The sequence below is a fragment of the Homo sapiens genome, chromosome 2 (genome assembly GCF_000001405.40).
Source record: "Homo sapiens chromosome 2, GRCh38.p14 Primary Assembly".
Lineage (NCBI taxonomy): Eukaryota > Metazoa > Chordata > Mammalia > Primates > Hominidae > Homo > Homo sapiens.
In genome coordinates, this window is record NC_000002.12 from 89,530,680 (window position 1) to 89,551,562 (window position 20,883).

Consider the following 20,883-nt stretch of genomic DNA (forward strand, 5'->3'; position numbering starts at 1 on the left):
GATCATTAGGCTGGCCCAAATTCAATATGCTTAGTGTCTTTATTTTTTATGTTTTTGAGATGGAATTTTGCTTGTTGCCCAGGCTGCAGTGCAATGGCATAATCTCGGCTCACTGCAACTTCCGTCTCCTGGGTTCAAGCAATTCTCCTGCCTCAGTCTCCCAAGTAGCTCGGATTACAGGCACCTGCCACCATGCCCAGCTAATTTTTGTATTTTTAGTAGAGATGAGGTTTCACCATGTTGGCCAGGCTGGTCTCGAACTCCTGACCTCAGGCAATCCACCTGCCTCGGCCTCCCAAAGTATTGGGATTACAGGCGTGAGGCACCGCGCCTGGCCCTGGTGTCTTTATAACAAGAGGAGAGAAGGACACAGACACACACAGAGAGACAGCCATGTAAAGACACTGGAGGAAATTGACCATCTACAAGCCAAAGAGAGAGGCCTCAAAAGGAACCAACCCTGCCCATACCTTGATCTTGGATTTCTAGCCCCAGGACCCTGAGAAGAGAAATTCCTGTTATTGAAGTTGATGATCTGTGGTCCTTTGTTATGGCAGCCCAAGCTGATCAAAGATAACTGGCTGCTCATTCCAGGGGAGCCAAATCCCGTGAAGACAGAGCCTTATAGTGATACAGTGACAATGTGGAAAGCTTTCGTGAGGCCAGAACGAACTGCATTCGTTCATTCATTTATTTTTCTTGCAGTTCATCTTTAAATACTGGATGAACATTGTTCTCAGCATGGGGAATACAAGGCTGCAAAGTCTGTGGCACACACCGTGGGGGTGTCAGTTAGGTGAGAGGCAGTCCCCAAAACAGTGACAACGCTGGGCTCAGTGCTTTGACCAGAGTGTCCCAGAGCAATGAGGGAGCACAAAGGAGGGCATTTCGGCAGCTTGGGGTGAGAGTCAATTTCTGCCAGAGAAGGTCCCAGAACCGTTTGTGAGAGAGGGAGGAGCACAGGGTTAGTGGGTCAGAGGCCACTGGAAGAGGGTGTCTTTGGGACATGCAGTCTTTCCTCACAGTGGGGTAGCGGGAGGATGTGTGGGCACAGGCTGGATCCCTGTTTGGTGTAGGGCTTGTAAGCTTGCACTCTGGTCAGATTGCATGACTCTGGCTCTGACCACAGCTGTGTGACTTCAGGAAAATTATTTAACTTCTCTGGGCCTCATGGGTCTTACTTGCAAGGTGAGGACAATCACAGTACCTACTTCATGGGCTCGTTGTAGAGATTAAAGGCACATGTGTATGAAAAGCACTTGGCACAGGGCTAGGTGTGCAGCAAATTCTTGGTCAAGGCTGACCACCACCTAGGGGCTTGGGCTTCACCTCAAGGGCAGTGGGGAGCCACTGAAGGCTTTAGGCAGAAGAATGACTGGGACAGATATGAATTTTCAAAATATCCCTCTTAGTTGGTGGGTTGGAGATCCTAGCTTTCTAATTTAAGGCCTTTTATTGGCCAGGCAAGTCAATGAATTAATAATTCTATACCTGTTGGACACTTACCATGTGCTTTTGCTACATTAGATGACTGGCGAATGGAAAAAAGTATATATAACAATTAGGCGCTGTTCTAAAAAACAGAGCATTTATTTTAAAATTGTGGCAAATACTGAAAAACCCGTAGATATCAGGATGAAATCGCTTTTGTCAGACCCAGGCAAAATAGGCCTGGGAAAGCGCTAAGGAGAGGGCACTTCTGTCTACGTGTCTGAGATACAAAGTGTTTCCAAAGACTTTCTAAAAACCCTTCATGCATCTCCTGCTTTGAAGAGGTTGGACATTACTAGACATTCATTAGGACTGCAGTAAAGCAGATAAGATGCTCTTGGAAGAACACTTGTCCAGCACTGGCATCTCCACCAATGAACTGATGACAACTCTGGCTTTGAGCCTCTAGAACCGATGAACTTTTTTTCTCTGTGGATTATGTAAATCTCTCTTTGCTAATAACAGCTCCTCCTTACCCTTCCCTCACCGAATGCGCTGGTGGCTTGCCATTCCATGCATTCTGGACTGTAATTCCTATTTCCAAGTAAATCCAACATATTTAGCGATAATTTTCTCTAATGTCTTTTTTTTTCAGGTTGACAATCACATAACATTTACCATCTTAGTCATTTTAAGCATATGGTTCATTAATGTTAAGTACATTCACTTGTTGTACAACCAATCTGCAAACGTTTTTCATCTTGCAAAACTGAAACTCTGAGCCCACTAAACAACTCTCTATTTCCTCCTCCTCTGGCTTTTGGCAAACTCTGTTCTACTTTCTGTCTTTATGAGTTTGAATATTCTAGATGCCTCGTATAAATTGAACCATACAGTATTGGTCTTCTTGTGTCTGGCTTATTTCTCACAGCATAACGTTCTCAAGGGTCATCCATGATGTAGCCAGAATCATGGCTGAGAAGGAGCCGTGTATTTGTGTGCACATGTCTGTCTCACCCTATGGTGCCTGAGGCTCTCCCAGGGCTGCTTGAGAACTGAGTCCTTGTGTTTTTCAGGTTTGGGGTGATCCACTTGGTGTTCACCAACCTGCTTCTGTGGGCCAACGGCGTCCTCAATGAGTCAAAGCACCAACTCAATGAGCACAAGGAATGGCTCATCACTCTGGGCTTTGGGAACATAACAACAGGTGAGTGCTGAGAGAGGTGAGTGGCCCCTCTGCCATGTTGGAATGTCTTGGAAACCTGCAGAGTCCACAGTGTTCAGAGATGGAGTGCAGGTTCCAAAGAACTTCAGGCCCACCAAAGTCAGCATCAGCCAGACAGCCCCCTGTTGTTGAAAATCTTCCAAAACCTGAATCTCTCATAAGTGATGTGTACTGAGCATAATTAAGGTTTCTTCCATGACTCAGGGACTTGTAAGACCCACGGTGATCATTCTGATGGCCATTTCTCATGGTCCAGTTTGCCGCAGAAATAAATGTCTTTGTTTTCAACTACAGAAGATTGATGGTTGCCTCTGCTTGTGTTTTTAATTAAACCTCTATTACCAGTTCTTTCTAGTAAAAGTATGGCTTTTAAAAATTCATAAAAGTCTAATGGTAGGTTGTGGTTAATAGGCTGTGGTTCATTTAAAGTTTTAATTTAACTGTAGTTGGCTTATAATTCTAGCTCATGTCTGTTCTAACTTGTTCCTATTTGAGAGCCTGTTGGGTTAATCTTTATATTTTCATCTAAAATCCTTTAGCATTTACAATATGTCACTTCTATATGAGAACATTCAGGCTGAGGGGAATGTGGGGCAGGGAACTGGGTGTCTCAGGTTTGTTCCCATCATGTACAAGCTGTGTGACCTTTAGAAGACTTTTAATCTCTCTGAGCCTCCCTTTTCTCATTTGTAAAGTGAGGGTATCCAAATCATGCACTTGCAAAGATCCCTTCCAGCTTTAACATGCAGCAAGTCTGTGACAGCTGTGTGAACCCAGGCTGTCCTGGAGAGCCACTTTGAACCTGTTTTGTCATCAGTGGGGTGGAGACAATGAAGTCACCACCCCCAACCAGCAGGCACTCGGTGTTTGGGCCTCATGTCCTCTTTGGTATCAATATTAGTAGCAGCAATGACAACAATAACAAAAGTAAATTTTTATTAAGCATTTGCTGAGTGCCTGCCACTGTTGTTGGAAATTTACACATGTCATTTAATTTGTACCCCCACACTCTCTGGTAGGCTATATATGTGTGTATATGTATGTGTATATATATATATATATATATATATATATATATATATATTGTTGTTTGTTTGTTTGTTTTGAGACAGAGTCTCACTCTGTCGCCTAAGCTGGAGTACAGTAGCGTGATCTCGGCTCACTGCAACCTCTGCCTCCCATGTTCAAGTGATTCTCCTGCCTCAGCTTCCTGAGTAGCTGGGACTACAGGTGCGTGCCACCATACCTGGCTAATTTTTGTATTTTTAATAGAGACGGGGTTTCACTATGTTGGCCAGGCTGGTCTCCAACTCCTGGCCTTGTGATCCGCCAGCCTTGGCCTCCCAAACTGTTGGGATTACAGGCGTGAGCCACTGCGCCTGGCCTCAGGTAGACAATATTAACCTCATTATATGGATGAAGGCATCAAGCCACGGAGAAGTTAGCCCAGGGTAACACAGTGAACATGTGATACAGCCATGATTTGAATCCTAACAATCTGGCTTCAAGGCCCTCTGTGAAAGATGAGGTTGGATTAATTTTCTAAAAAAGGACTCTGTCAGCTGTAACATTCTGTTACTCTGAACTTTTCCTCCTGATTTCTTCCCTTGTCTTCTGCATAACACCGTATTGAATTGTAAGTGCTAGGGAAGCCCTGTGTGAATTGAAGATTATTACTGGGGCAGTGACTCACACCTGTAATCTGAGCACTTTGTAATCCTAAGGCAGGAGCATTGCTTTAGCCTAGGAATTTGAGACCAGCCTGGGCAACAAAGGGAGACCCCAGCTCTGGAAAAAAAAAAAAAAAAGCCAGGCATGGTGGCATGGGCTCGTGGTCCCAGCTATAGCTACATGGGAGACTGATGCAGGAGGATCACTTGAGCCCAAGAAGTCAAGGCTGCAGTGAGCTGTGTTTGTGCCACTGCACTCCAGCCTGGGCAACAGAGGGAGACCCTATATAAAAAAGAATAAAAAAAGAAAAAGAAAATTTCATAGTGTTCTGTGAAAGTAAAATTAATGCTACGATATAGTTTTTCTCAGATTTTTTTTTTTTTTAGACGGAGTCTCGCTTGTCGCCCAGGCTGGAGTGCAGTGGCATGGTCTCGGATCATTGCAAGCTCTGCCTCCCGGGGGTCACACTCTTCTCCTGCCTCAGCCTCCTGAGTAGCTGGGACTACAGGCGCCCACCATCACGCCTGGCTAATTTTTTGTATTTTTAGTAGAGACAGGGTTTCACCATGTTAGCCAGGATGGTCTCAATCTCCTGACCTTGTGATCTACCTGCCTCGGCCTTCCAAAGTGCTGGGATTACAGGCATGAGCCACCACACCCAGCTGCTTTTCTCAGATTTTGTAAGTAATATATACATATCATAAACTAAAACAATGACAAAGTGTGAAGCAAAAAAATCCACAACACTTACCCAGAAATGCAGTAAGTGCTGCGAATGTTTGGTTATTTTTTTGTAGTGTGCCATTTATTTATAGTTGATTTTATACTATATATTTGATCTTTTTTTATTGCAACCTTCAATAAGAGACAGATTTTACACTGTAATCCAAACACACACATACTTATGTGTGTATGCTTGATGAAATAATACTTAATTTTACTGTATCAGAGATGCTTCCAAATTTTATCGGAGTTGATTCCACTCCATTCTATCCCATTCTAGTCCACTGAAAATTATTTCTGCTACAAAAAAGTTGGTTGCTACCTGATTTTGCAGCCTTGTACTGGGTTGTGACTTGCATTAAAGAAATATACAGTTTGTTCTTACTTTTTTCCATTTTCCTTGAAACGAGATTACTTTCTTAATATTAAAACACATCCTGGCTGGGTGCAGTGGCTCATGCCTTTAATCCCAGAACTTCGGGAGGCTGAGGCGGGCAGATCGCATGAGCTCAGGAGTTCAAGACCAGCCTAGCCAACATGGCGGAACGTTGTCTCTACAAAAAATATAAAAATTAGCTGGGAGTGGTGGCATGGGCCTGTGGTCCCAGCTACTCAGCAGGCTGAAGTAGGAGGATGCTTGAGCACAGAAGGCTGATGTTGCAGTGAGCCAAGATTGTGCCACAGCACTCCAGCCTGGGCAACAGAGGAGGCTCTGTCTCAAAACAAACAAAAAACAAACCCCCCCCCCATACCCAAAACCATAAAGCACATCTTAATTATAACGTGCAGTGGCTGTCTACTATCTCATTGTTGGGATATACTAAAATTTACTTAACAATTTCTAAATTGTTGGACTTTGAGCTGTTCCTCTCTCTCTCTCTCTCTCTCTCTCTCTCTGTCTCTCTCTCTCTCTCTCACACACACACACACACAAACACACACAATTTTACCTGACTTTTTTTAAATTATTTTTTGAGACTGAGTCTCACTCTGTCACCTAGGCTGGAGTGCAGCGGTGCGATCTCAGCTGACTGCAACCTCTGCCTCCCAGGCTCAAGCGATTCTTCTGCCTCAGCCTCCCCAGTAGCTGGTATTACAGGCTTGCCACCACACCTGGCTAATTTTTGTAGTTTTAATAGAGATGAGGTTTCACCATGTTGGCCAGGCTGGTCTCGAACTCCCGACCTCAAGTGACCCACATGCCTTGGCCTCCCAAAGTGCTGGGATTACAGGGCTGAGTCACCACTCCTGGCCTTACCTGACTCTTTGATTACATTTTTATTTGTCCCTTTGAGTAGAAGGGTAGAATGGAAAGAATGGAATTATGGGTCAGAGACTGCATCGCCTTCAGGGCTTTGGTGACCTGTTTCGTCATTTACTTGCAGCATCTGCCCTCCTGTGATGAGAGGGCCCTCCATATGACAGCCAGCTTCTCTTCCAGAAGGTGGTGCCCGTTTACTTTCCCCGCACTGATATCAGAGAGCACCTGTCTCCTGCATGCTTGCTAGCACTGGAGTCTTAAGAGGCATATCTTTTGCTAATTAAAAGGGGCATTTTCTCCAGAAAGTATTTTTTAAAAATAATCTTAAAAAATCACACATGTAAATCATCTTCACAGAAAAAATTTAGAAAATACAGGGAAGCAAAATCTAGAAGAGGTTAAAAATCATCTGTCATTTTTCCACCCAGAGATAACAATTGTTGACATTTTAGTTTGTGTCCTTCCAGGTTTTTTCTGTCTGTCTGTGTGTGTGTGTATCCATCTATCTATCTATCATCTACATATCTATTTTTTACAACAATAGAGTCATCTTCTCTATCCTCTTTGGCAACTCACCAAATAAATGTGATTTAGGTAATGAATATGCTTTGGGGATACTCAGGGCTATCAAATTAGCCATCATATTAAACGTGATAATAAGCCATGACATGAAAAAGCTTGTAATCCAGTGGGAAGACTCAAGCCTGAATCCACAGTGGAAACAGTTTTCTGTGCTTTTCTGCTTCCCCTTGCACCTGCTAATAGCCCCTCTGTGTGATCAACCTGTCTCCCCTAGTTTTAGATGACCACACACCGCAGTGTAACTGCACGCCCCCAACTCTCTGCACCACCATCTCCCACGGGATCTACTATAACTACTACCTCTACCCCTTCAACATAGAGTATCAGATCCTGGCCTCCACAGTGCTCTACGTCCTATGGAAGAACATCGGGCGCAAAGTTGACAGCCATCAGCACCAGAAGATGCAGTTCAAGCCTGATGGGGTCACGGTGGGCACAGTCCTGGGCCTGACCGCGCTGGCTGCCACCATTGCCGTGGTGGTGGGTGGTGCACCTGATTCATATTGGGTGCTCCAAGACCAAGAGCGAGTCAGCACTCATCACGTTCTACCTGTATGTCATCACCCTGATGATGCTTATGGGGGCTGCGGGGCTGGCTGGAATCCGGATTTACAGGACAGATGAGAAGTCACTGGATGAGTCCAAAAATCCGCCCCGCAAACTGGACTCGGACCTCTTGGTGGGCACTGCCTCAGGCTCCTGGCTTATCTCCTGGGGCTCAATCTTGGCCATCCTTTGTGCCGAGGACCACCCCCACTACACCTGGTACAACCTGCCCTACTCCATCGTGGTGATCATGGAGAAGTACATCCAGAACCTCTTCATCTTTGAATCCATTCACCGAGAGCCTAAAAAACTCTCTGAGGACATCCAAACCCTTCGGATGGTCACAGTCTGCAATGGCAACACCATGTCCCTTGCTTCCTCCTGCCTCAAGAGTGGAGTTGTGGCCGGAGACGTGGCTCCCTGGGGCAGGGACATGCCACCAGCAGCCAATGGAAATGTGTGCCTGAGAGAAAGTTGTGACAAGGAGGAGAAGCAGGAGGAGAGCAGCTGGGGAGGGAACCCAAGCCCAGTCCACCTTCCTCGTTTCTTACAGGGCAACGCCAAGAGAAAAGTCCTGAGGAATATTGCAGCCTTCTTGTTCCTCTGCAATACTTTGGTAATCTGCACCAAGTTATTCTTATTCTTTTAATTTTGCTGTAAACTTTCATTTTAGGTTCAAGGGGTACGCATGCAGATTTGTTACATGGGTAAATTGCGTGTCGCTGAGGTTTGGTGCACAAATGATCCCGTCACCCAGGTAATGAGCATAGTACCCGATAGGTAGTTTTTCACCCTGCACCCCACTTCTGACCTCTCCCCCTAGTAGTCCCTAGTAGTGTCTATTGTTCATATATTTGTGTTCATGACTACCATTAGCTCCCACTTATAAGAGAGGACATGAGGTATTTGGTTTTCTGTTCCTGTGTTAATTCACTTAGGATAAGGACTCCATTTCTATCCAGGTTGCTGCAAATAATGTGATTTCATTCTTTTTTAAGGCTGCATAATATTCCATGGTGTAGAGCTACCACATTTTCTATTTTTTTTTTTTTTGAGAGAGGGTCACGCCCCATTGCCCAGGCTGGAGTGCAGTGGCATGATCACAGCTCACTGCAGCTTCGACCTCCTGTGCTCAAGCAATCCTCCCATCTCAGCCTCCTGAGTACCTGGGACCACAGGCATGTGCCACTACACCTGGTTAATTTTAAAAACTTTTTTTGTTTTTGAGACAGAGTTTCACTCTTGTTGCCTAGGCTACAGTGCAATGGTGCTCACTGCAACCTCTGCCTCCTGAGTTGAAGTGATTCTCTTGCCTCAGCCTCCAGAATAGCTGGGATTACAGGCACCTGCCACCACAGTTGGCTAATTTTTGAAAATATTTTTAGTAGAGATGGGGGTTTCACCATGTTGGCCAAGCTGGTTTCGGACTCCTGACCTCAAGTGATCCACCTACCTTGACCTCCCAAAATGCTAGGATTACAGGTGTGAGCCACCATGCCTGGCCAAAACTTTTTTTTTTTTTTTTTGTAGAGATAGGTTCTCACTGTGCTGCCCAGGCTTGTCTTGAACTCCTGCGCTCAAACAATCCTCCTGCCTCAGCTTCCTAAAGTGCTAGTATTACAGATGTGAACCACTGTACCCGGCCATAATACATTTTCTTTATCCAGTCCATTATTGATGGACATCTAGGTTTCTCTTGCCTTTTTAAAATAAGGAATGGAGGCAGCTTGTAATAAAAATACTGTAAGTATAAAATTACAATATAAGGCTGGAAAATAGACCTATATTCTACAAATCTACCTACTGAAGACTTGCTGTGTGCTAGGGGCTGGGCTAGGTACTAAAGATTAAAGTGGAAAGACTCAGTCTCTTTCCTCTAAAAGGTCTCAGTATAATGGGGGAGGGAGACAATGAGCAAATCTAATATAGTGAACAGGACAAGTGCTGAGATGGGCTTGTGCAAGGTGTACTAGGAGCAGGGATCCAGAAGGACTTCAGTGAGTAGTGAGTGCTTGAGGTGAGGCCCAGTGTCAATCAGGAGTGCTTTTAGTTGCAAGTGACAGGCAATTTGATTCACAGTGTCTTCAGTCTTATCAATGTTTAATTATCTCCTGAGAATTCCAGAGGTTGGCTGCTTGGGGTTGGCCTGGCAGCTGAACCGTGTCATCAGGCATCCAGGCACTGTTCATCTTGTCACTTGGGTCGTGTGGTGTTTGTTGCGACATGGTCATGAGATGGCTGCAGCTGCACCAGGCATCACATCTGGGTTCAAGACAGAAAGCAGTGGGGAAGGGCTGGTGCCAGACAATGTCTCTCATGTGGGCACCCCTCACTGCAAGGGAGGCTGGGGAAGTGGACGGTTTGCTTCCCAGCCTCTCTGATGGAAGGTAGCAAGGGAGAGGAAGGTGTACAGTCACTCACCCATCTGTCTGCATCAGCAAGGAATGACTGGAAGTTCACCAGGTTATCAAGGCGGGGAAAAGCATTTCAGGCAGAGACACACAATATGTGAAGACACAGAGGCAAAAGACACCATGGCATGTTTTGAGAGCACCAAGTAGTTTGGCATAAATTCCATGTGTGTTAAGCAGAGTAGCAGAATGGGAAATAGGAGAGAGGGCCCAGGTAGGTGGACTCTGGCTTGAGCAGGGCTTCCTAGGCCTGGCTGGAGTCTAGTCTTTATGCTGAGGGCAAGGGAAGACTCTCTCAGATTTGTGTTTTGGAATGATCCTCCCAGTAGCTGTGTGTAGCAAGGATGGAGACAGATAGGGCCAGAAGCAGAAAGACTGGGAGAGAAAGCCCTGCAACAGCCCAGGCAGGAAGGGGAGGAGCTTGAACTAGGGCAGTGATGGAGGGATGGAGAGAAGAAAAAGGAATAAGAAGCATTGTGTGCTGTTGGGATTTTTTTAAAGACACATAAAGGAAGGATGGTGGGGGTCAGTAAGAAGGAGGGGGAAGCAGCCTTTGCCACCGCATGAGTCTCTGCAGTGATGGTGACTGGTGGCTGGAGGGGAGTGCCCCAGTCCACAGAGGTGCCTGCCCATCACTCTGGGTGAAGTCAGCTCTGTGCTACTAGCCTCTGTTATCAAGCCTGCTCCCTGTTGCCCCAGCAGCTCAGAGGCTTTTGAGCTTCCTCCCCTGAATTTCAGATGGTGCATATGGGGCCTGCAGCTTTTGATATCACCCTAAGAACACAAAGTTGGGAAAGTAAGTCCCTTCTAAAGTCAGAATGGCTGTGTGTCTGCCAAGCAAACCTGATCCACCCTAGCCTTGGATCACCCAGGTTCCTTCAGTTTGCTAGGCAGTGAGGAGGGGCTCTGAAGGTGGAAGGCCCAGAAGAGTTTGGCTGCAGGGAGACCCTCTTCTCCATCTAACAGACATTTGCCAGGCACCTGCTGTATGCCAGGGACTATGTCAGGGGCACAGCAGTGAGTCAAAAATTGAAAGAGTTAACAAGAGAGATAGATACTGTAAGCTGCATTTTTTTGAGGTGCATATTCCAAAATGCAAATTCTTATAAAGTCAGAGCTAGTTCTAGAATCTTCCTCAAGTATATGCTTTTTGTACATATCCTGTGATTAATATTAATATACATATATTTTGAGATGGAGTCCTGCTGTGTTGCCCAGGCTGTAGTGCAATGATGCGATCTCGGCTCACTGCAACCTCCACCTCCTGGGTTTAAGTGATTCTCCTGCCTCAGCCTCCCGAGGAGGTGGGACTACAGGCATGCAACAACCATGCCCAGCTAATTTTTCTACTTTTAGTAGAGACAGGGTTTCACTAGGTTGGTCAGGGTGGTCTCGAACTCCTGACCTCAGGTGATCTGCCTGCCTAGGCCTCCTAAAATGCTGGGATTACAGGCGCGAGCCACTGCTTCTGACCTAATATTTCTTTTTAAAACTAAGTTCTGAAAAGTTGTCTTTCCCTGGTTGCCTTTTTGGTTGACCACTGGGTGAAATACTTGGCTTGCATTTTTGGACCCACTTGAAGAAAGATAGCACTGTCTGAAATACCAGAATCAAGTGGCAATTCATGGTCTGTCAGGACCCGAAAGCCAGACCCAGGGCCCAGTCCAAGGAGAAGGGTGGGCTCCGTCTCTTCCTCCCTGTGCTTGGCCCATGATGCCCCCAGGCACTGGTTGGGTTCTGGGGGGTTGAACCAGAGGATGGAAATCATCGCAGGGTGGAGTCTTAGGATACCCGTGCTGGCTCATGGGGTGGCACTTTGAAACCTTGTGGTTGACCCCAGGTGGTGCCAAAGGCATCTGGCAGAGAGCAAGAGCTGTCTTCTCCAGCATCGGGAGCCAGTCCAGAGGCCCCAGCTGCAGGTGCTGATGTGCATGTCCAGGTGGAGTGGGCTCCACTCCAGAGACGGACATGGAAATGTTAGTTGAATTTCCAGGAGCCGTGGCACTGGAGACAACAGAGGGTGGTTGTGGTGACGGGGAAGGGCAGGGTGCTGTGGGAGATGGGTCAGGGAAGGCCTCTTCTAAGGAAGGGTGTGGATGGGGCTGGGATGAGAGACTATCAGGGCAGAGCTGCAGGTGTGGGGAAGGGACGGATGCAAGGCAAGGCAGGGCTCACTGGACATGACCTGGGAGCACAGAGCAGAGGGCAGAGGGGAGACCACACAGGGCCTGCGAGCCAAGACTCAATCTTAAATGCAACAGAAAACCATGGAAAGGTCTACACTGAGAGTGACGGGATCTGACTCATGCTTATTTTGTTATATTTTTAATTGTGGTAAAAAACTCATCACATAAACTTTTCCATTGCACTCACTTTCAAATGTATAGTGGAGTAAAGTACGTTCACATTGTGCAAACATCACACCATCCATTTCCAGGTTATTCTCATCTGGCAAAACTGAAACTCTGTCCCCATTAAATATGAACTCCCCATTCTCCCCAGCCCCTGACAACCACCGTTCTTTCAGTCTCTAGGAATTTGACTCCTAGACTCCTCATATAAGTGAATTTGTGGAGTATTAGTCCTTTTGTGATTAGGTTATTTCACTCATCATAACACCCTCCAGGGTCTCCAGGTTGCAACTCGCAAAGGGTGACAGATGCCAAACATGACCCCTGCCTTCACACTTGAGTTCCTGGGGAGATGGTGATACTATGTTGGAGATGGAGGACTCTGGAGGAGGGGCAACCTTGGGAGCAGTGGGTGGAGGTCAGTGTGGAAGGAAGAACCAGAGTTAAGTAATGAACGTGTTCTGTTTCAGGTGCCTCTGTGGCATCCAAATGGACGAACCCAGTAGACAGGTATTTTGGTTTTCTATTGCCGTGCGATGAACTACCACTAATGTATGACAAAAGCAACATGCATGACTGTTTTTGTCCCATGGCATTTATTGTGACTCATGGCTTTGTGGGTTAGAAATTCTGGCAGGGCTTGGATGGGCAGTTCTGTTCCTCACAGCATCAAGTGAAGTTGGTGAAGCCTTGGCCAGAAGCTTCGTGGTCTGATGCCTTGGGTGGGGGTGGCTGGGAGGCTGGGCTCAGCCAGGACTCTTGACTGGGGCATCCACAGGTGGGTCTCCAGCATGACGTCTCAGGGTGGTTGGACTCCATGCGTGATGGCTGAGGGCCCCAGAGCTGACCCTCCAAAAGACTGAACTGGAAGCTGCCTGTCTCCTAAGGCCTGGGCTTGGAAACTGCATGGTGTCATTTCTGCCATATTTTATTAGTCATGTAGTCACAGAGTCCATCTAGATTCAAAGAAAGAGGTCATAGGCCACTTCTCAATAGGATAAGTAACAAGAATTTCCAGCCAACTAAACAGCACATATAAAGATGTGGATTTCAGAAAAGAGGTCCCATTTTCCTGCCTTCCTTTCTTCTCCCTTTTCCTCCCTGTCTCCCTTGCCCTTCCTCTCACCCTTCTTTTAAAAGGTGTCCCTTAAGTACCTACAGAGGTACAGGGACTGCTATGAATGGTGAGGGTACAGCAATGACCAAGATCTCTGGTCTTCCTCTTATGGGGCTTACAAACCAGGCAACAGCAGGTGAAACCATCAACTGAGCAAGAAAGACACCTTATAGTGTACCCGTGTTAAGCAGAGAAGTGGAAAAGGAGGGTGTGGGAAATAGCTCTTGGGCTGCCATTGTAGATCAGATGGACCAGCTTAGCGGGAAGGCCTCGCTGAAGGGTGACATGAGACAGGAAGGGGTTGGCCACGCATGTTCAGGGCAGAGGGAACAACGGCTGGTATAAACCCCCAGTGGGAGTGAGCGGGTCTGGTTTGAGAAACAGGAAGAAGGGTTGCCTGCAATGTGGGTGGGGTGAGTGGGGAGAAGCGTGGGTGGTTAGAAATCAGCTAACAGAGCACTTTATCACTCAGTGCGGGAGTGTAGAATTTATTTTAAATATTTTGGGAAGACTTTAGGGGTTTAATCAAGGTAGGGACAGGATCTGATTTCCATATAATGTAAATCTGGTGGCCGAGTGGAACCCTAGTTCGAGCTGGGAGACCAGGCACGGGGCCACCGCCATGGTCCAGGTGAGAGAGGCCGGCTGGACAGGTGGAGAGAGAGAGCCACAGGTGGGCTGAAGATACTGCTTTGGAGGTGCACAGTGGAGATGCGCTGAGGGACTGGATGGGAGAGGGCATGGTTATGAGAGTAGGAGGGAGATAAGGTTGACACCTGGAGCCTCGATGGACCACCTGGGAGGACGATGTAGCTGAGCAGATGGAGAAATGGGGAAGGTGGGTTGAGTTTGAGATGTGTTTTAGACACCCAAGTTGCCACCGGAAACTATGAGTCTGGGGTTCTTGGAAGTGGTCCAGGCTGGAGATTGAGACTGGGAAGTCATAGGCCTATAGCTGGTATTTACAACCAGGGACTGGGAGAGAGCCCCAGGGTTCATGTGTAGAGAGAATAGAAAGGGACCCAGGAATGAGCCCTGGATGCTGGCTAACATTAAGAGGCAGAGCAAAGGATGAAACAGCAAAGGAGACTGGGAGGGACCCGCCGAACAAGTAGGAGAGCTCCTAAGAGTCACAGCAGCCAGTAAGCAAAGCAGAAGAGAGGGGTCTTGGTTCCAGGGCCCCCGTGGTGTATACCAAATGCACAGATGCTCAAGTCCTATATATAAAATGGGGTAATACTTGCATGTAACCTACCCATCCTCCCGTACACTTTAAGACATCTCTAGATTACTTAGAATACCTAATACAATTTAAATGCTATGTAAATAGTTGTTACATTGTATTGTTCAGAGAATAATGACAAGAAGAAAGTTTGTACCTATTCAGTACAGACACAACAAACCATTTTATTTTTTTAATTAATTTATTTTTATTTTTTGAGACCGAGCTTCACTGTTGCCCAGGCTGGAGTGCAGTGGCATGATCTTGGCTTACTGCAAGCTTCGCCTCCTGGGTTCAGGGGATTCTCCTGCCTCAGCCCCCTGAGTAGCTGGGATTACAGGCACATGCCGCTACACCTTGCTAATTTTTTGCATTTTTAGTAGAGATGGGGTTTCACCATGTTGGCCAGGCTGGCCTTGAACTCCTGACCTCAGGTGATCCACCTGCCTCGGCCTCCCAAAGTTCTGGGATTATAGGTGTGAACCACTGTGCCCAGCCTACTTTTTGAATATTTTTGATCTGTGGTTGGTTCAATCCACAGACACAGGTCCCTGGATACAGAGGTCGGCTGTATATACCAGGGAGTGTTCTGTATGGAGATACAAATGAAGGCTATGTGTCTCAGTTACGTATTGCTATGGAAGAGACCACCCCAATACTCAGCAACTTAAAACAATGTACATTTATGATTTCATAGTTTCTCTGACTTATGAATCCAACTACAGTTTTAGCTGAGTATCTCTGCACAGGGCCATTCCCAGGCTGAAACTGTTGGCTGGGGCTGCATTCATTTCAAGGCTTGACTTTCCGAGAGGTGGCAGAGGATTTGTTTCCAAATCTACTCATGTGACTGTTGGCAGGATTCAGCTGTGGCTTGTTGGGCTGAGGGTCTGAGTTCCTTGCTGGCTGTTGACAGGAGTACTCCCTGGGCCCCTTGCCGCGTAGGGTGCTTCGCAGCATGGCAGCTCTGCCACCTGTCTTTCAGGAGAAGATGAGCAAGAGGGATAACAGGTCCTTTTGCAACCTAATTTCAGAAGTGACTTCCTGTGTCTTTTGCCATATTTTGTGAGTTGGAAGTGAGTCGTTAGGTGCATCCCACACTAAAGGGGTGGGGACTCCACAAGAGGGTGACTGCAGGAGCTGGGGATCATTGAGGGTCATCCTAGAGGCTGCCTGCCACAGCCAGGGAGTGGAGGAAGCTGAAGAAGGGTGCAGCCTGAAGCAGGAGTGAGGAGCCTGACAACTCAAGGGGTGGCAGAAAGGGAGAGAACTGGGACAGAGAAGAGCCTGAGAAGCAGGGAACAGTGTGTAGGTTCCGTGAGCAACACAAACAAAAGTCACTGCTTTCAGTTTTGCAAACTTAATTCTCATCTAAGCCCTCTCAGACACGTGTTAGAATTCCCATCTTTCAAATGAGGAAACTGAGGCTGGGCGAGGGCTGTAGAGATGGAGAGAGTTGGATGGGTTCAAAGAGCGCTCATTAGGGATGGATTGCAGGGAAGGGTGGGTGAGGAAGTGAGCAGGATCATGGCAGACATGGATTTGGTGGTTTCTGTGGAGATGGGAAATGCCACGAGGTCTCCTTATTGTTCTGTCAGGGGTGACTCAGTCCCCGTGCATCAGGGTCAGCTCCCATGAGGCCTGGGACTTGAGTGGGGCCTCCATGGTGGCTTGGAAGCTGCTCCCCACCACAGGCCATTTTCTCTTCTCTTGCAGCTTTGGATACCTCCCGCTTTTGGCTGTCGACCTGAGTATGACAACGGATTGGAGGAGATTGTCTTTGGCTTTGAACCCTGGATAATTGTGGTCAACCTGGCCATGCCTTTTTCTATTTTCTATGGAATGCACGCAGCTGCCTCCCTCTTTGAGGTCTATTGTAAGATATAGTCTGGTTCCACAAGAGACCGAGGAGTGAGCTAACAAGAGTTCATTGGAGCCAACTGGGAATGGCCAGGTTGGACAAATATTGCCTGACAAACATGAGAAGGGCCACCTTTTGTCTGCAAAGATTGTGCTTCCTGTGGGCTGGAACTGCCCATCACCTCTGATGAATGTAAACAAGTTAGATCAAAATCCATAAGGTGGCTGGAATCTGTCCTTGGTTAGTTAAATGCTAATCAAGCCCAAATTATTTTATTGCCTTCTAAATGATTTAGAAGAATGTGATTCTGGCTTGGGAAAAAATCTATCCAGTTTGTTTTTCATAAAAAGCATTTTCTTTGTGTCATTTATCATGTGACTCCATACAACCTTTTCCTGACCACCTGCATAGTAATTTACACTTTAAAAATTTATCCTTCTCAAAGCCTATGAATTTAGACACAATCACTATTGTTTCTGAATAGGTTTAATTTCTTGAAGTTATTTTTATCAGCTGGATAGAAATTTGTATACAGACCAATATAAAAACACATTTCTTACCTGAAATGTTGGCACATTTTTGTGATCATTTTCAAGTATTTTTAAAAAGAAATTTCACTGTTCTCTCTTTCACTGTAAATACATACATGTTTATTGTAAAAAATTTGGATATTTCAGAAAAGTAGAGAGAAAAAGTCACCTACGATGCCATTGTTCAATTAACAATTACTTTTAATATCTTGGTGTATTTCTTCCGACCATGTTGATGAGATTCTTTTTATTGTCATTATTATACCTTTGAATGGTGATGTAACATATTTGATTTTGTATTCAGTTATTTTCCTACTTAACAATATGGCATAAACCTTGCCCCCATATTGTTATAAGTTCTTTATAAATATCATTTTAATGCTGTATGATAGTCTATCAAGTGAATGTACCTTAATTAACACAGTTTCCTATGGTTGGTTTTACAGTGTTTATAACTTTTTGCTTTTATAGGTAACTCTGCAAAAATCAACCATATTTGTGAAGCATTTCCTATATTTAGAATTGCTTCTTTAAGATATGGAATTACAATTAGGATGCCTAGTCCAAAGATTAAGTTTATAAATATTTCAAAGGTGCCTAAGGAATATTGACATTTGGGAGGCCTTTGTATAGTTTTTCCACAGCTATTTTAAAATAATAATAAAATTAATTTTCTTACTGTAAGTATTAATGTATCTTTTCATTTGAGTGTATTTTTTTCAGACAGTGCAGGCAATGGGACAGTAATAAATACAAAGTTTTTTTTTAACATGACTAAAGTACACTTATTTTAGAAAAAACTAAAAAATAGGCATATATACTAAAAAACAAAGGAAAGCATCATCTATACATGTCCCATCTAGAGAATCGGTTCTCCAACTGGGGACCTTGTTCCTTGAGGGGACATTTAGCAATATCTGAAGACATTTTTAAATATTTATTTTTTATTAAAATTAAAATAAATCTAAATTATACATAACATTTATACATACTTACAGGGTACATGTGATATTTTGATATAAACATATAATAAATAATAATCAAATCAGGGTGACAGATATTCATACCCTCAGGTATGTATCTTTTTTGTGTGTTAGGAACATTCTAATTTCACTATGTTAGTTACTCTAAAATATACAATAAATTGTTGTTAACTATAGTTGTACTTTTATGCTACCAAACACATTTTTGATTGTTACACTACTGCACCCAGGGATACTGCTAACACCCTACAACACACAGGACAGCCCCACCACAAAGTCTTCGGGCTGATTGTCAATGGTGCTGAGGTAATCTAGAGGTAACTGCTGTTAAGTATTGTTATCTAGGTAGCTATTAGTACACACACACAGGCTGGACGTGGTGGCTCACGCCTGTAATCCCAACACTTTGGGAGGCTGACACAGAAGGATCGCTTGAGGCCAAGAGTTTAAGACCATCCAGGGAACACAAACATAGTGAGACCCTGTCTGTACAAAACACAAAACAAAAAACCCAGGTGCGGTGGAGTATGCCTGTAGTCCCAGCTACTCATGAGGCTGAGTGGAGAAGATCACTTGAGCCCAGGAGTTTGAGATTGGGTAGTGAGACAAGATTGTGCCACTGCATTCTAGCTTGGGTGGCACAGTAAGACCCTGTCTCTAAAAAATAAAAATTAAAAAAATATATATATATATATATTTATTTTTATTTTTTTGAGACAGACTTTCACTCTTGTCACCCAGGCTGGAGTGCAATGGCATGATCTTGGCTCACTGCAACTGCCGCCTCCTGGGGTCAAGCGATTCTCCTGCCTCAGCCTCTGGAGTAACTAGGATTACAGATGCCTGCCACCACGCTCAGCTAATTTTTGTATTTTTAGTACAGACAGGGTTTCATCATATTGGCCAGGCTGGCCTTGAACCCCTGACCTCAGGTGATCCACCTACCTTGGCCTCCCAAAGTGCTGGGATTACAGACGTGGGCCACCGCACCCAGCCGATAATTTTTTTTTTCAAAAGTACGCATACACCCACACCCACACCCATACTGCGTTTGTATGTAACTTGCTTTTTTCCTCTTGATACACCAGAGTGCTTCTTCCCTATTTTGGGTCCCAGGCATCGATGCTCTGGCTTTAGTGTGCCTGAGACTCATCTGGGGAACTTGTTAGGATTCCTGCCCTCCAAGCTGGAAGTGCAGATTCAGTCTGGAGGGGGGCCCGGAAGTCTGCACTTTCATGAGCATCTCAGGGGATGCCAACTCCCTTTGATAAGCATCTCCTTGGACGTCCATGGACCCCAAGCTAGGACTCCTAAGTTTCCTTGACATTGTATATCCATATGCAGTATGATTTTGGGTGGATTTAAGGTACATTCCATGGAAGGATGTACCATTCCTTATTTTTTCAAACGGTGATGTTGGACATTTAGAGATATTTAGGTGGTTCCTTTTTTTTGGTGCTACTGTAAACAATGCTATGGTGATCATCTTTGTAACTGAGTCTTTGAGGTCAGTAACAAACTATCCTCTGGAGTGATTTATGCTGACTAAGCAGTGACTGAGCAAGAATACAGGTTTCCCCATTTTGGTTGGCATTACCTTTACCCCTGTTCTAAGCACATTAGAAAAGCCCTGAGGCCTCAGCTGTGGGTTTTGGGCTCTTCCAAGGAGACAAAGGAGCTATCATAATGCTGGGAATGATGGATCCAGGCTGTGGGGATGCTATTGTGGACACAGGGCAGCATCAGAGCTTGGAAAAGCCTGCATGGCTGGCCAGGCTCAGCGTTTCCAAGAAAGGATCTAAAGATGGATGAAGCATCTCCTATCCTCAACAGGCAGCCTCAGGGATGGCTATTTCAGCTAGTTGCTTTTTACCTCCAAGTAATTAAGCATCCTGACTCAACCAGCGTAGGTGGCAAGGAAAATTTACTATCTTAATGCCAAGGCAATTTGCCAAAGAGGAACCAGAATGTGCAATACACAAGTGTTAAGGTCTCAGGGATTAATACAGGGAATACAAATTGAAATAATAATGAGTTACCACTTCCCATTCATTAGATTGGTAAGAGTTGGCAAGAAGTGAAAGAAAGACTCATATATACTGCTAGTGGGAGCGTAAATGAATAAAATCAGATAGGACAGCAATTGGCAATATTGACTAAGGCTGGAGGTACACATTCCTTACGACCTAAGAATTCTGTTCCTTGGCATGTGCTCCAGAGACAGCCTCACACCTATGTTCAGGAATGTTCACTCAGCATAACTTGTAATTAGGAAAATGGAAAACAGCCTAAATGCCTGTCAATTAGGAGTGCAGATAGACACACTAGGGACAATTTCCATGATGGACTATTTCACAAGAGGAAAAAATGAACACAACAGAATTCATGTATCAACATGGATAGTCCCCCAAAACAATGTTGAATGAAACATTAAGTAGTGTAAGGGTATAATTGGTATGATACCATTTATATGATGTCTAGGAACAAGCAAAACAATCCCTGATATTGCTGGGGGATATGTCCATATGTAGTAAGATTACAAACACACCTGAAGAAAGAATGCATGCCAAGTTCAGTGTAGTGAGAAGGGGAGGGGCTTGGAACCAGCAACTGAGTTCATGCTGTGTCCGAAATATTTTTTCTTAAGCAAAGATGTATTCATTATGTTTTCATCTGCACTCTTAAAATGTACTCTTTAAATGTACTTTTAATGTATTTTAAAGAAATTTTAAATGAGATATTTAATAATACAAGTATTTGAGAGCAATAAAAAAAGAAAGTCCATACAAGGAAGATGAACTTAGACAGAGCTACCAGAGCAGGTAAATTTCCAGCATTCTTCCATCATTGTTGAGAGATGGGTGTCAAAGCCAGTGGTGTTCTGTTCTCCTTGGCAGGTAGATCCCCAAGGTGGGGTAGCTCAATGCAATTAGCTGGTAAGATCACCGGACTCACTCTTCCAGGGATGA

General features: G+C 45.1%; 2 pseudogenes and 1 further gene across 3 annotated transcripts in view, besides 1 other annotated feature; 2 read left to right on the forward strand and 1 right to left on the reverse strand.

Moving 5' to 3' along the window:
• The window catches only part of IGK (immunoglobulin kappa locus), a 1,378,008-nt gene that overhangs the window by 673,319 nt on the left and 683,806 nt on the right, over positions 1-20,883 (forward strand).
• LOC102724365 (proton channel OTOP1-like) lies at positions 864-8,118 on the forward strand (annotated as a pseudogene).
• Positions 6,875-7,379: an enhancer, noted in NCBI's record as "H3K27ac-H3K4me1 hESC enhancer chr2:91799900-91800404 (GRCh37/hg19 assembly coordinates)". NCBI's record gives its function as "activates a minimal SCP1, AML or CMV promoter by ChIP-STARR-seq in naive H9 embryonic stem cells {active_cell/tissue: H9 hESC(naive)}" and the evidence as "EXISTENCE:reporter gene assay evidence [ECO:0000049][PMID:30033119]".
• LOC107985911 (lymphocyte specific protein 1 pseudogene) overlaps positions 12,160-20,883 on the reverse strand; it is a 42,827-nt pseudogene continuing 34,103 nt past the window's right edge. For 2 of the 3 annotated variants that reach the window (NR_160761.1, NR_160765.1), the window contains one exon: positions 12,160-13,157. The product of NR_160761.1 is annotated as a lymphocyte specific protein 1 pseudogene, transcript variant 1 (transcript). Of the gene's footprint in view, positions 16,288-20,883 lie in introns of all 3 variants that reach the window. The other variant, NR_160763.1, reaches the window with a different exon arrangement.